General features: G+C 38.0%; 1 annotated feature.

Annotated features, from left to right (window-relative positions):
• Positions 4,173-4,749: an enhancer, noted in NCBI's record as "OCT4-NANOG-H3K27ac-H3K4me1 hESC enhancer chr8:78000945-78001521 (GRCh37/hg19 assembly coordinates)". NCBI's record gives its function as "activates a minimal SCP1, AML or CMV promoter by ChIP-STARR-seq in primed H9 embryonic stem cells {active_cell/tissue: H9 hESC(primed)}" and the evidence as "EXISTENCE:reporter gene assay evidence [ECO:0000049][PMID:30033119]".

The following is a 16,476-nucleotide window of genomic DNA, read 5'->3' on the forward strand; positions in this document are numbered from 1 at the left end:
GCAGTAAGTAACATTTACTGAGTAGAAGAGAAACTTAAAGCTGAGTTCTCTTTCAATTGAGAACCTTATCTTTGCCCTTACACATGAATGCAAATGCACATAAATCTGACTGACAAAATAATAATGCACATTTTGAAAGTGATACGTTTGAGGGCATGTCTCAATGATTTACTATAAAATTTGAGGAGATATAAAACTTTTTTAAAGACAATCTTGATGTTACTGTCTCCTCTTCCTCCTTTCAGCTTTGAAATTTCCATCATTTGAGGTACTGTGATAGTTAATATTGAGTGTTAATTGGATTCGATTGAAGGATGCAAAGTTTTGTTTCTGGTGTGCCTATGACAGTGTTGCTAAGGGAGATTAACATTTGAGTCAGTGGACTGGGAGAGGAAGACCCACCCTCAATCTGGTGGGCACCATCTTGCCAACATGGCTAGAATAAAGCAAGCAGAAGAAGTTGGAAGGACCAGACTTGCTGAGTCTTCCAGCCTTCATCTTTCTCCCGTGCTGGATGTTTCCTGCCCTTCAACATTGGACTTCAAGATCTTCAGCTTTTGGACTCTTGGACTTACACCAGCGGTTTGCCAGGGGCTCTCCAGCCTTCAGCCACAGACTTAAGACTACACTGTCATCTTCCCTACTTGTGAGGTTTTGGGACTCGGACTGACTTCCTTGCTCAGTTTGCAGATGGCCTATTGTGGGACTTCACCTTATTATCGTATGAGTCAATACTCCTTAATAAACCCCCCTTTATAAATACATCTATCCTATTAGTTCTGACCCTCTAGAGAACCCTGACTAATACAGGTGCTTAGTGGCAACTTATGACAGGGAGAGGAGAAAGAAGGCCTGTTGTCTTTAGAAAGCACATATATTAAAGTGGAAGGAAGGAGTGAGACATTGGGGGCAACAATTCCTTCTCAAGTGAGCATGGTTGGTTATATAAATTTTACAAGTGAGAAAATGTGTCACTTTAGAAGATTCTGAGACCCTTGCCCAGATAAGAGGTAATTAAAAAGGAAAGAATCATAGACAATGCTTGTTAGAATAAAGACCATGTGAGCAGATGAGGCCTGAGAGGGAAGTCTCTGGGCTTAGGAAATCTGAAGTGGGTCCTACAAGGGAAAAGTCTTAGAAAACACGAAGCCAAGGAATAATGCCTTCTACTTTACAGTTGTACCTCTGACTAATTCTCTCCTTAATGATGGTATATAGTTCACTTAGAGACTATGTAAGCATTTTTTAAATTAAATATAACTCGTTTGAAGCAAGTTATATGAAATGGGATTAAAACATCCACTACTAATAAAGAAGTAATATTCTCTGTTTCTAGGAAAGTTGTCCCCATAAAAAAGGGTGCAGATGCAGCCATCACTGTATTATTAATTCATTCTATAAATATTTAATGGGTTCTTATTTGATGCCAAGTGCTGTCACAGGCCTAGGAAATTCAGTAGTAACAAAACATTATGATCACTGCCCTCATGTAGCTCCTACTTTGATGCTGGAGTTGATTTCTTGTTTTCTCAGCACTATTTGAAACCGCCACCCACTAGCACTCTTTCAGTGGGACTCTCCTCAGTCTTTGCCTTTAATCCTGGGAAACTGCTTTAGTTTGAACTTACAGGAATATAAATACTTTTTTTCCTAAATCCTGTAGATTTTAAGTGTGAAGATCATCATACCATCTACTGGTCCAGGTGCTACAAGGACAGGATTTCCTGATGAAAGAAATAAAAACTCACACTTTGATGTTCACAGGAGCCAGTAGGCAGAATCTAGTTTTGTAGATGAGAAGATGTTGGCAAAAAAGTCAGAGCAGGGAGCCAAGCGTTCTCTCTGTGTGTCTACAGGTCTCGAGGACTAACCTTTAAAAGCAAAATAGTCATAAAGCCTAAAAACTAGAGTGTGGGTCTTTGCATAGTTTTTAAAGTGAACTAAGGAGGAAACAAAAAAAAAATCTGAGCCAAAGTTACATCCCATTTGAATATTAAGCTGGCAATAAACCAGCAGAAAGGCACTCAGACCAAGGTGGGACACCAACTTGAAATAACAACTTCATAGGATATGCAGAAACTAAAGAAGCTTTTTAAAATGAACGATAAAATGTTAGGCTGAGGTCAGTAACAATGGTTGGAAATTTTCTCCAAAAGGCAAGTGACACAAATCAGGCTAACCATTGGGTCTGACTTTCTAAAGTTTTTATTAGATTTAAAATTGTAACCCAGATGTCAGCTGCAGTTGTACTTGAGCTTTTTAATACCAATGTGTTAGTCTGCTTCAGTTGCTATACCAAAATACCATAGATCATGTGCTTACACAACAAAAATTTATTTTCCAACAGTTCTGGAGACTAGGATGTTTGAGATCAAGGTGCCATCTGATTTGACTCTTTGATGAGGGCTCTCTTCCTAACGTCCAGATGGCTGCTTCCCATGTCCTTAGATGGCAGTATACAATGCAGTTCCACCTTCGTGTAACTTGCCAATACCATTCAGTTTTTTAAGAGAATCATTTGCTAGATAAAGTCTGCCTCTCAGGACCTTTCAATACCCAAAAATTTATTTACTACCTCTGTAATTGCCTACAGCTAATTCACTTTTTTCTTTCTTATAAAGAAGGTTGTATTAGTTTTTGAATTTCTATAAAGAAATACCTGAGACTGGGTAATTTATAAAGACAAAAGGTTCAATTGGTTCTACAGTTCTGCAGGCTGTATAGGAAGCATGTGCTTAGCTTGTGGGGAGGCCTCCAGGAACTTACAAGCATAGTGGAAGGTGAAGGGGAAGCAAGCATGTCTCATTGCTGGAACGCGAGGAAAGAGAGAGAGCGAGGAGTTGCTACACACAACCAGATCTTGTGAGAACTCTATCAAGAGAACAGCACTGGGGGATGGTGTTAAACCAAGAGAAACCTCCCCTATGATCCAATCACTTCCCATCAGGCCCTACTTCCAACATTGGGGATTACAATTGAACATAAGATTTGGATGGGGACACAGATCCAAACCATATCAACTATATTGAAGCCTCACCCATGTAGCCCTTCTTTTGAGTCTCATATTTTTGAGACTCCCATGTCCATGCGCTTGTGAAACATTTGTATGCCTGTTCTCCTATTAATCTATTGTCAGCTTATTTCAGTGGGACCTTCAGAGGGCAGAGGGGAAGTTTCCTTCTACCCCCATAGCAACCAGTAAGGTTAATTCACTCCCTCATCCCACTTGACTTCCAAGTCCTGTGGAAATGTAGAGCCCCTTCCAAGATCTTTGTGAATTTCACCAGGCTTAGGTTCTCAGCTTCCTCTACTCCTAAACTCCTCCCTCTGTGTGTGCCACCTCTGTTTTGCACTGAGAGAAAAATCTCAACTCTTTCTGAAGTTGCCCTAACAAACCCACTCTCACACATAACATTCATGAGCATGTTAAATTTTACTGAAGAATTTTGGAAGAGGTTTAAGGATCACATACAACAAATAAAAAAACATTGATTTGAATACTAGTCATTTTATTCTTTAAAGGTCCTTTAGCCATTACACTTCATAGACATTTCTACTGGCTGATTTCCTGCAAGGTCCCCACTTTCAAACCTCATTCTTCATGCTCTTGTTTGCTCTTTTTCTTCTCCTTGGTTCTCTCTCTTCCTCTCAAGAACAAACTAAAGTCCTCTCCCTCTCCAGGTAGCCTACATTTGCATTTCTGCAAACTGACATTGCTCCTCACGCTTCCAGCAGTTACTCTCAGCCTCAATTGGCTCACTAAAGTATTTTCTAAAAAACAGCTCCCTATCTAGAATAATTTTGCCAAATGTGAATATACATAACATTTTGAAAGATAATATATCACTTTTATAAAATATAAAAAATAGAGCACAGGGGAGGAGCCAAGATGGCCGAATAGGAACAGCTCCGGTCTACAGCTCCCAGCGTGAGCGATGCAGAAGACTGGTGACTTCTGCATTTCCATCTGAGGTACCGGGTTCATCTCACTAGGGAGTGCCAGACAGTGGGTGCAGGTCAGTGGGTGCGCGCACCGTGCGCGAGCCGAAGCAGGGCGAGGCATTGCCTTACTTGGGAAGCGCAAGGGGTCAGGGAGTTCCCTTTCTGAGTCAAAGAAAGGGGTGACGGACGGCACCTGGAAAATCGGGTCACTCCCACCCGAATACTGCGCTTTTCCGACGGGCTTAAAAAACGGTGCACCACGAGATTATATCCTGCACCTGGCTCGGAGGGTCCTACGCCCACGGAGTCTCGCTGATTGCTAGCACAGCAGTCTGAGATCAAACTGCAAGGCGGCAGCGAGGCTGGGGGAGGGGCGCCCGCCATTGCCCAGGCTTGATTAGGTAAACAAAGCAGCCAGGAAGCTCGAATTGGGTGGAGCCCACCACAGCTCAAGGAGGCCTGCCTGCCTCTGTAGGCTCCACCTCTGGGGGCAGGGCACAGACAAACAAAAAGACAGCAGTAACCTCTGCAGACTTAAATGTCCCTGTCTGACAGCTTTGAAGAGAGCAGTGGTTCTCCCAGCATGCAGCTGGAGATCTGAGAACGGGCAGACTGCCTCCTCAAGTGGGTCCCTGACCCCTGACCCCCGAGCAGCCTAACTGGGAGGCACCCCCAGCAGGGGCACACTGACACCTCACACGGTAGGGTACTCCAACAGACCTACAGCTGAGGGTCCTCTCTGTTAGAAGGAAAACTAACAAACAGAAAGGACATCCACACCAAAAACCCATCTGTACATCACCATCATCAAAGACCAAAAGTAGATAAAACCACAAAGATGGGGAAAAAACAGAACAGAAAAACTGGAAACTCTAAAAAGCAGAGCACCTCCCCTCCTCCAAAGGAACGCAGTTCCTCACCAGAAACGGAACAAAGCTGGATGGAGAATGACTTTGACGAGCTGAGAGAAGAAGGCTTCAGATGATCAAATTACTCTGAGCTACGGGAGGACATTCAAACCAAAGGCAAAGAAGTTGAAAACTTTGAAAAAAATTTAGAAGAATGTATAACTAGAATAACCAATAAAGAGAAGTGCTTAAAGGAGCTGATGGAGCTGAAAACCAAGGCTCGAGAACTACGTGAAGAATGCAGAAGCCTCAGGAGCCAATGTGATCAACTGGAAGAAAGGGTATCAGTGATGGAAGCAAATGGATGAAATGAATGAAATGAAGCGAGAAGGGAAGTCTAGAGAAAAAAGAATAAAAAGAAATGAGCAAAGCCTCCAAGAAATATGGGACTATGTGAAAAGACCAAATCTACGTCTGATTGGTGTACCTGAAAGTGATGGGGAGAATGGAACCAAGTTGGAAAACACTCTGCAGGATATTATCCACTAGAACTTCCCCAATCTAGCAAGGCAGGCCAACGTTCAGATTCAGCAAATACAGAGAACGCCACAAAGATACTCCTCGAGAAGAGCAACTCCAATACACATAATTGTCAGATTCACCAAAGTTGAAATGAAGGAAAAAATGTTAAGGGCAGCCAGAGAGAAAGGTCGGGTTAGCCTCAAAGGGAAGCCCATCAGACTAACAGTGGATCTCTCGGCAGAAACCCTACAAGCCAGAAGAGAGTGAGGGCCAATATTCAACATTCTTAAAGAAAAGAATTTTCAACCCAGAATTTCATATCCAGCCAAACTAAGCTTCATAAGTGAAGGAGAAATAAAATCCTTTATAGACAAGCAAATGCTGAGAGATTTTGTCACCACCAGGCCTGCCTTACAAGAGCTCCTGAGGGAAGCACTAAACATGGGAAGGAACAACCGGTACCAGCCACTGCAAAATCATGCCAAAATGTAAAGACCATCGAGACTAGGAAGAAACTGCATCAACTAATGAGCAAAATAACCAGCTAGCATCATAATGACAGGATCAAATTCACACATAACAATATTAACTTTAAATGTAAATGGACTAAATGCTCCAATTAAAAGACACAGACTGGCAAACTGGATAAAGAGTCAAGACCCATCACTGTGCTGTATTCAGGAAACCCATCTCACATGCAGAGACACACATAGGCTCAAAATAAAAGGATGGAGGAAGATCTACCAAGCCAATGGAAAACAAAAAAAGGCAGGGGTTGCAATCCTAGTCTCTGATAAAACAGACTTTAAACCAACAAAGATCAAAAGAGACAAAGAAGGCCATTACATAATGGTAAAGGGATCAATTCAACAACAAGAGCTAACTATCCTAAATATATATGCACCCAATACAGGAGCACCAACATTCATAAAGCAAGTCCTGAGTGACCTACAAAGAGACTTAGACTCCCACACATTAATAATGGGAGACTTTAACACCCCACTGTCAATATTAGACAGATCAACGAGACAGAAAGTCAACAAGGATACCCAGGAATTGAACTCAGCTCTGCACCAAGCGGACCTAATAGACATCTACAGAACTCTCCACCCCAAATCAACAGAATATACATTTTTTTCAGCACCACACCACACCTATTCCAAAATTGACCACATACTTGGAAGTAAAGCTCTCCTCAGCAAATGTAAAAGAACAGAAATTATAACAAACTATCTCTCAGACCACAGTGCAATCAAACTAGAACTCAGGATTAAGAATCTCACTCAAAACTGCTCAACTACATGGAAACTGAACAACCTGCTCCTGAATGATTACTGGGTACATAACGAAATGAAGGCAGAAATAAAGATGTTCTTTGAAACTATGGAGAACAAAGACACAACATACCAGAATCTCTGGGACGCATTCAAAGCAGTGTGTAGAGGGAAATTTATAGCACTAAATGCCCACAAGAGAAAGCAGGAAAGATCCAAAATTGACACCCTAACATCACAATTAAAAGAACTAGAAAAGCAAGAGCAAACACATTCAAAAGCTAGCAGAAGGCAAGAAATAACTAAAATCAGAGCAGAACTGAAGGAAATAGAGACACAAAAAACCCTTCAAAAAATTAATGAATCCAGGAGCTGGTTTTTTGAAAAGACCAACAAAATTGATAGACCGCTAGCAAGACTAATAAAGAAAAAAATAGAGGAGAATCAAATAGACGCAATAAAAAATGATAAAGGGGATATGACCACCGATCCCACAGAAATACAAACTACCATCAGGGAATACTACAAACACCTCTACGCAAATAAACTAGAAAATCTAGACGAAATGGATAAATTCCTGGACACATACACTCTCCCAAGACTAAACCAGGAAGAAGTTGAATCTCTGAATAGACCAATAACAGGATCTGAAATTGTGGCAATAATCAATAGCTTACCAACCAAAAAGAGTCCAGGACCAGACGGATTCACAGCCGAATTCTACCAGAGGTACAAGGAGGAACTGGTACCATTCCTTCTGAAACTATTCCAATCAATAGAAAAGGAGGGAATCCTCCCTAACTCATTTTATGAGGCCAGCATCATTCTGATACCAAAGCCAGGCAGAGACACAACAAAAATAGAGAATTTTAGACCAATATCCTTGATGAACATTGATGCAAAAATCCTCAATAAAATACTGGCAAAACGAATCCAGCAGCACATCAAAAAGCTTATCCACCATGATCAAGTGGGCTTCATCCCTGGGATGCAAGGCTGGTTCAATATACGCAAATCAATAAATGTAATCAGCATATAAACAGAGCCAAAGACAAAAACCACATGATTATCTCAATAGATGCAGAAAAAGCCTTTGACAAAATTCAACAACCTTCATGCAAAAAACCCTCAATAAATTAGGTATTGATGGGACGTATCTCAAAATAATAAGAGCTATCTATGACAAACCCACAGCCAATATCATACTGAATGGGCAAAAACTGGAAGCATTCCCTTTGAAAACTGGCACAAGACAGGGATGCCCTCTCTCACCACTCCTATTCAACATAGTGTTGGAAGTTCTGGCCAGGGCAATCAGGCAGGAGAAGGAAATAAAGGGTATTCAATTAGGAAAAGAGGAAGTCAAATTGTCCCTGTTTGCAGATGACATGATTGTATATCTAGAAAACCCCATTGTCTCAGCCCAAAATCTCCTTAAGCTGATAAGCAACTTCAGCAAAGTCTCAGGATACAAAATCAATGTACAAAAATCACAAGCATTCTTATGCACCAACAACAGACAAATGGAGAGCCAAATCATGAGTGAACTCCCATTCACAATTGCTTCAAAGAGAATAAAATACCTAGGAATCCAACATACAAGGGATGTGAAGGACCTCTTCAAGGAGAACTACAAACCACTGCTCAAAGAAATAAAAGAGGATACAAACAAATGGAAGAACATTCCATGCTCATGGGTAGGAAGAATCAATATCGTGAAAATGGCCATACTGCCCAAGGTAATTTACAGATTCAATGCCATCCACATCAAGTTACCAATGACTTTCTTCACAGAATTGGAAAAAACTACTTTAAAGTTCATATGGAACCAAAAAAGAGCCTGCATCCCCAAGTCAATCCTAAGCCAAAAGAACAAAGCTGGAGGCATCACACTACCTGACTTCAAACTATACTACAAGGCTACAGTAACCAAAACAGCATGGTACTGGTACCAAAACAGAGACATAGATCAATGGAACAGAACAGAGCCCTCAGAAATAACGCCGCATATCTACAACTATCTGATCTTTGACAAACCTGAGAAAAACAAGCAATGGGGAAAGGATTCCCTATTTAATAAATGGTGCTGGGAAAACTGGCTAGCCATATGTAGAAAGCTGACACTGGATCCCTTCCTTACACCTTATACAAAAATCAATTCAAGATGGATTAAAGACTTAAACGTTAGACCTAAAACCATAAAAACCCTAGAAGAAAACCTAGGTATTACCATTCAGGACATAGGCATCGGCAAGGACTTCATGTCTAAAACACCAAAAGCAATGGCAACAAAAGCCAAAATTGACAAATGGGATCTAATTAAACTAAAGAGCTTCTGCACAGCAAAAGAAACTACCATCAGAGTGAACAGGCAACCTACAAAATGGGTGAAAATTTTTGCAACCTACTCATCTGACAAAGGGCTAATATCCAGAATCTACAATGAACCCAAACAAATTTACAAGAAAAAAACAAACAACCCCATCAAAAAGTGGGCGAAGGACATGAACAGATACTTCTCAAAAGAAGACATTTATGCAGCCAAAAAACACATGAAAAAATGCTCATCACCACTGGCCATCAGAGGAATGCAAATCAAAACCACAATGAGATACCATCTCACACCAGTTAGAATGGCAATCATTAAAAAGTCAGGAAACAACAGATGCTGGAGAGGATGTGGAGAAATAGGGACACTTCTACACTGTTGGTGGGACTGTAAACTAGTTCAACCATTGTGGAAGTCAGTGTGGCGATTCCTCAGGGATCTAGAACCGGAAATACCATTTGACCCAGCCATCCCATTAGTGGGTATATACCCAAAGGACTATAAATCATGCTGCTATAAAGACACATGCACACGTATGTTTATTGCAGCATTATTCACAATAGCAAAGACTTGGAACCAACCCAAATGTCCAACAATGATAGACTGGATTAAGAAAATGTGGCACATATACACCATGGAATACTATGCAGTCATAAAAAATGATGAGTTCATGCCCTTTATAGGGACATGGACGAAATTGGAAATCATCATTCTCAGTAAACTATCGCAAGAACAAAAAACCAAACACCGCATATTCTCACTCATAGGTGGGAATTGAACAATGAGATCACATGGACACAGGAAGGGGAATATCACACTCTGGGGACTGTTGTGGTGTGCGGGGAGGGGGAGGGATACCATCGGGAGATATACCTAATGCTAGATGACGAGTTAGTGGGTGCAGCGCACCAGCATGGCACATGTATACATATGTAACTAACCTGCACAATGTGCACATGTACCCTAAAATTTAAAGTATAATAAAAAAAAAAATAGAGCACAAAGAAAAATGAAGATCGTCTCTGATCTTACCATTCCTAAAGAGGCTAACATTTAGCCTGCCTGCATGTTTTATTCTTTTCCCTCTATAATTTATTTAGCACATTTATATATGTAGATATTACAAGAAAATGGAACACTAGTTAAGAATTAACTGACAATTTGTTTTAGTAATTTAAATTTAACAGAATTTTTTAATGCTATAAAAATAGTTTTCTACTTCATTTATAATGTCTACTTAGTATTTAACTATCAGAATACAGTGTACTTTATTGGTTCTCTACTATTGACCATGCATGTTTGCTTCTAAATTTTTGCTAAAAGAAACAACATTTTGAAACACATTCTCAAGTGTATACCTTTGCTCCACATATATCCACAGTCATTTTTAAAGATAAACTCCCAGAAGTGAGATAGCTATAGCAAAGTATGTGTTGCTGCCTTTAAACTGTGCTGCTAAGGCCTTTTCAGGCATTACAGCCAGAGATAACCCACCTTATGTTTAATAGGGCCAGGTCCTCTAAGCAGAAAGGGACTCCAGTGGGTCCCCGGCATAGTGAATCTCAGCCAAGAGTTATTTATTGTGGTCAAAAAGAGGTTAGAATTTCAAAGTGAATCCTGTTTTTTGGTGACCTAGGGACAGGGACAAAGCATTTTTTTTCATGCATGTCTGCTACTCACAATGTATATAAATTCTCATGGACACATATATTGCTACTTCCACCCCATTTTCAAAAGGCACACACTCATACACCCACACAATGTTTCACATTGGACACCATAGTGCATACAGAAGATGGAGCTGTTGCTTTCAAGCCATTTGGAGAGCTCTTTTAAAGTTTAATTTTTGTTTAAAATTCCTTTTGCTTTCTTTAAAATTTTGAAGTGTGTAAAAATCACCCTTTCTTCCAGTGACAAATTTCAAAGTGAATTTATACACAGAAATGTGGAGAGGTGTTTGTGTGAAGTGGTACTAGACAATTGTTATCATTGCAGTATCTGTAAGTATCCTCTCAGATGAGTAAAATATTCCCTGTTGTGTCAAGTGCCTCATAGTTGCATTACATCCTCCCTCCCATTAAAGGACCACTTAGTACAATAGGGCGCAATTAAGTCAATAGAGCCTTGGTGGTCTGAAAGGTAGTTCTCTTCCAAAGTGCTTCATTTACTCCTCTGTGTTAATAATGGATGGTTTTCCCATATTATGCTATCATGGGTTACCCAGTTGTAAGAAAATACTTTAGGCCTAGACTAAATGGGACAGAAATTCTTACATTTCATCAGCATATTCTCAATTCTAGTTTTCTGCAAACATAGCATTCATTTTTCTTACTCTTTTCTAAGGACAAATATAACAATTTTACCCTTATGTAGTATATTCTAATATTTTCTGGGAAAATGATTTCTGCATCTTCCCCTGACTGTATTTTGTTGCTCTCTCCTGTGTTTTGTCTTTCAGCTTGAATCATAAATTCATATAGAAGTGGCTATCTCTACCTTAAATACAGCTCTAATGTATTGTTGATGCTCAGATATATTAAATAATGATTATAACAATAAAAGTTTAGTCCCATAGAAACATTATTAAATTTTCCTCTCCCTTAGATTACATGTCAACCTCCTGGTAATACATGGTAGCTGGATGATTTACGTGTTCTCAAAATTTTAAAATATTTCTGTGACTCTATAGCTGCTTTTTTTTTTTTTGGTGGAGATAGGTTAGTTTTTCAGTTCTTTCTTACTCTACACATTTAATTTCTTCATTTTTTTCTACCTAAAGACTAATATGAAATACTTTAATATTTTAGCCATTTTCAGTAAGTTGTATACCCCTATTGGTTTATTAGGTTTATTTTTTCCTCAATTATCTTTTCCTTAAGATCATTTATAAAATTCCATCTTGTTGCTTTATCCTGATGGCTAGCATTTTATCTTGCTTTATCTTTTCCCTTTAAGTTTCCATTAATGCTATGTATTCTTGTTTTTCTCTTTTTTTAATTTATTTCCAGGACCTTTAAATCACAGTCTTTGGTTTACTTTTCTTGACTTCCTATTAATGGTTTCTTTTTGCTTTGTACTATTAATAGAAATTGTGTGTAGTCCTTTTAAATTTTTACACTTAACGATATAATTCAGGATGATTTAGTCATTTCCCAAACTCTTGTCTTTAATATAACCTGTTTGTGAATTGCTCAATTTGTTCGTGCTTTTTCTTTAATTTACATAGTAGAACACCTTTAAGCTATAAAAGAAGTAATTTGATTCTCTTCATTTCTCCCTTACTAGGCTCCGAACCCAGGACAAACTTTTGGGAAGTGAACAGAATTATTTCCCAGAAATTCCGGCTCAGAATGTCCACGTGTCCACTCACACATAGGAATGTTAGGTGTTTGAAGGAGCTTGCTCCTTCAAATGTGGGCCCTGGACCAGCATCTCTGGCATCAGCCAGAAACTGATTTGAAATGCAGAATCTCTGCTTCCACCTCAGACCCTGGATCAGGATTTGCATTTGAAGGGTTCCCCAGATGACCCTAACTTACATTCCAGTTTGAGAAGCCCTTCTCTAAGGTTTTCCTGTGGTTCACTTTTAGGAGAGCTCCCTGGGGAATTGAAATAATTCTACCCTTAACTTGGGGGCTGAACATGGGCCAAATGTTCAATGGCTGGATATTGAAATAAACATTTGGCTGAAGCCAAAATTGAAGCCAAATATCATCAGTGTAGAAAGTCTGTGACACAAAAATACATCTGAGATTTTGTAACTGCCCAGTGGGTTCACCTTGCCCGCTGCCTAGACAGAACCGATTTATCAAGACAGGGGAATTGCAATGGAGAAAGAGTAATTCATGCAGAGCCATCTGTGTGGGAGACGGGAGTTTTATTATTACTCAAATCAGTCTTCTGAGCATTTGGAGATCATAGTTTTTAAAGATAATTTGGCGGGTAGGAGCTTGGGAAGTGGGGAGTGCTGATTGGTCAGGTTGGGGATGGAATCATAGCAGATAGAAGTTAGGTTTTCTTAATATGTTCTGTTCCTGGGTGTGACAGCAGAACTGGTTGGGCCAGATTACCAGTCTGGGTGGTGTCAGCTGATCCATCGAGTACAGGGTCTGCAAAGTATCTCAAGCACTGATTTTAGGTTTTACAATAGTGATATTATCCCCAAGAGCAATCTGGGGAGGTTTAGACTCTTGGAGCCAGAGGCTGCATGACCCCTTAATTGTAATTTCTGATCTTTTAGCTGATTTGTTAGTCCTGCAAAGGCAGACTGGACCCCAGGCAAGAAGGGGGTCTTTTTGGTAAAGGGCTGTTACCAATTTTGTTTCAGAGTCAAACCATGAACTGAATTCCTTCCCAAAGTTAGTTCGACCTACCCCCAGGAATGAACAAGGACAGCTTAAGGGTTAGAAGGAAGACAGAGTTAATTTGGCCTGATTTCTTTCACTGTCATAATTTCCTCAGTTATAATTTTGCAAAGGTGGTTTCAATTTTACCAAAACTTAGAATATATACATTTATTAATTATTTACGTTTGAAGATTCAAATTTGTATAATTTTACCTTGTGACTTAGAAACAATAATTTTTCAGCACTGCTGGCTTCTAGATGGCTCCTGTAGGTACTTTACTACATATTTGTACAGTAAATAGATGCTCCCTTTTTACTGATACCATTGGAGAAGCAAGATATGAATCTCGAAATACTTATGGCCTAAATATAATTAAATATCTCAAATTATCGGCCATTTTTTAAGGTTATATGCTTTAATGTCAGGAATGCTAGCACATAAATAATTTTACAAATATTAGAATTATAATTTTATCAACTATTGGTTGTTTTGCTTTATATCATTATTTAAATTTTTAGAAAAACTATTGACTCAAAAATTATATAATATGCCTCCCAGGGTTACCTAACTCATTCTTTTCAATATTTTTACTGTCTCTTTAACTACTAATTTCACTTCTGAAAATAAAGAAAAAAATAGTTTCACTTAAAAGTAACGGGAATCAAAGTGCTCATTAATTATTTTACTCTGGCAAAAATATTTACACAATTATGTTTCAAAAAATTGATGGAATCTCAACATACAAAGGCAGAATTTCATCACAAAGTACATATTGAACTTTTTTTATGTATGAAATTTTAATATTCAGATATTAATACAAATCTGAAAAACATACTTTATGCTCATAATGGCTCAGTTACTCTTTTGTAAGATGGTAACATACTGTAATCACATTGTCATTTGTCATGCACAATTTCTGAGTTACTAGAGGTGATACTGAAGTATGCATTTGTCGTATGAGGAAACTATCAAGTCAATTTAGGCTGAATAATAGGCTAAAGCCAAACTTGTCTGTTTTTTTCCATTCATGAATAGCTGCAGTTTTCTATTGTGCCTACTAGAGAATTTTTAGCATTACCAATGGTAAAATTTTGCCATTGTAATTTTTATGACAAATAATTTTGTCATATATGTTAACATGGGTGTTAGCTTTAAAATGTATAAAATTTTACTCACTTTGATTTTGAAAACAAAGAGAATTGAAAATATTTTCCTCAATAAAACTATATATAAATTTTTTAAAAAAATATTTTCCCTTCTACTTTTGTTAATTAAGAAATATAAATATGGGGAGACCGCATCTCTACAAAAAATATGTATATAAAAATTAGCTGGGCATGGTGATGCACCACCTGTGGTCCCAGCTACTCAGGAGGCTGAGGTGGAAAGTTTGGGCCTGCAGTGAGCTGAGTGAGCTGTGATCATACCACTGTACTCCAGCCTTCATGACAGAGCAAGACCCTCTCTTAAAAAGAAAAAAAAAAAAGAAAAGAAATATAAACTCTTTCCACACATACACATTACTAGAATTAGTCTCTCACTTGCAATTAAAAAGTTTTCATGTGGTGTTACAGAACCAGCTCAAATACCAGATGATAGTTAGTGGTATTGATAGTTATTTTTCTTGATATTGATGATGAGACAGGAGCTTCTGAATAACTATAGTAAAATAGTCTTTTCCACCTCAAAATTCATTTTAACAAATTATATTATTTTAGTTAATCTCTTATTAACTTCTAATTTTATTGAATTATTTTTAAAGAAAGCTACCTTTTAAAAATCTGTCAAGCTTTATGATGTCTCTAAATTAGGCATATAAAGGAAATGTATATTCTGTACACAAGGGATATATCTATTAAATCAAGTATTATTCACTAGCTGTTCTATGACCTTACTTATATTTTGCCTATCGGAGCTGTGAAATTCTGAGGTATACCTAAGTTTATCTTAAGCGGCATCTATTCGTTTATGCATATGTTCTTTTCATGTTGGCACTGGATACCTTTACTTTGGTCCTTTACAAAATTCCTAGCATACTGACCTTTTAAAAAAATCTGAAGTTCAATGATTCTTGAAATTATCTTTAATCTTATAGAAAACCTCTGAATCATTAAAAAGAATATTACTTGATTTTTGTAAAATTAAATTTATTTCATTTTATCAAATTTCCACGGACATATTCCAAATGCTACTTTTGAATTCTAGGACCTGAGCATTTAGGAAATATACAAATTTCTTATATTTCTTGACAACTCTACTACTCCTCTGAGAAGAATCTGTATTTGTCATTTCTATTACTATCATAACTCTGATGGTTAATGTGTCCACCAGTAGACGACAAGGAGCAATAATAAAGTTCAAGGTCAATGTTTAGTAATTATCCCTAAACTAGCTAATTAACTAAATCTCTGAGGAAAAATGTTATAGATTTCTGTGACAAATAAAGTGGGATTCTAAGTGTTGATTTCACAGATTCAAGAAAAATTCATCTATCTATACAAATTGCCAAGTATCTACAGCAATCTGATCAATATATTGATAAAGAAGAATATTTAACTACCAGGTGGCTATTAACTATAATGCCAATAATACTGGCTACCTAATGAGCAAAAAAAGGAAAAGAAAATTGCTTTAATTTTATTATAAAAAGAGATATTTGCATTGGGGGTTTGGAAGGAATAGATAAGTTAAGGCTTTGCCAGTAGTAGGCATTGTGAAGTTGAAATGAAAAGCAGAAAGTAGTGGGTCTTAAGCAATAGGGGCATTAGATACTCAAGGTTTGTCCGGGGACAGATAAAGTGGTACATAGTTTCTTATGTAATGAAGAATAGTAGGCAGAAGAATATAGGTTGTATTCCAAACTTGTAGTGCATTGACTGAGTGTTGAGAAGATACTAAAGAATGACTTTGTTTTACATTATTAGATAAGCTTTGATAGCATAGGGATGATTATGATATAAATCTATTGATTGGTGTTTATTCATAGAAGTATATTGTAGAAGTCAACATGTATACCAAAAACTACCAGTGCTAGGTGAAATGAAATCATAAAGTACTATATTTTCCAAGTTACACCAATAGCTTTCCTAAGTTATCTTGTCCATTTTTTTAATGTATACAAGGTGATCAAATTTATATTGATCCTTTCCATCACACTAGCATGAACTGTATTCCAGTTTGTACTGGTTAAGTGATTGAATTGGTGAGTTTTAGT

Source organism: Homo sapiens, chromosome 8 (assembly GCF_000001405.40).
Source record: "Homo sapiens chromosome 8, GRCh38.p14 Primary Assembly".
Taxonomy (NCBI): Eukaryota; Metazoa; Chordata; class Mammalia; order Primates; family Hominidae; genus Homo; species Homo sapiens.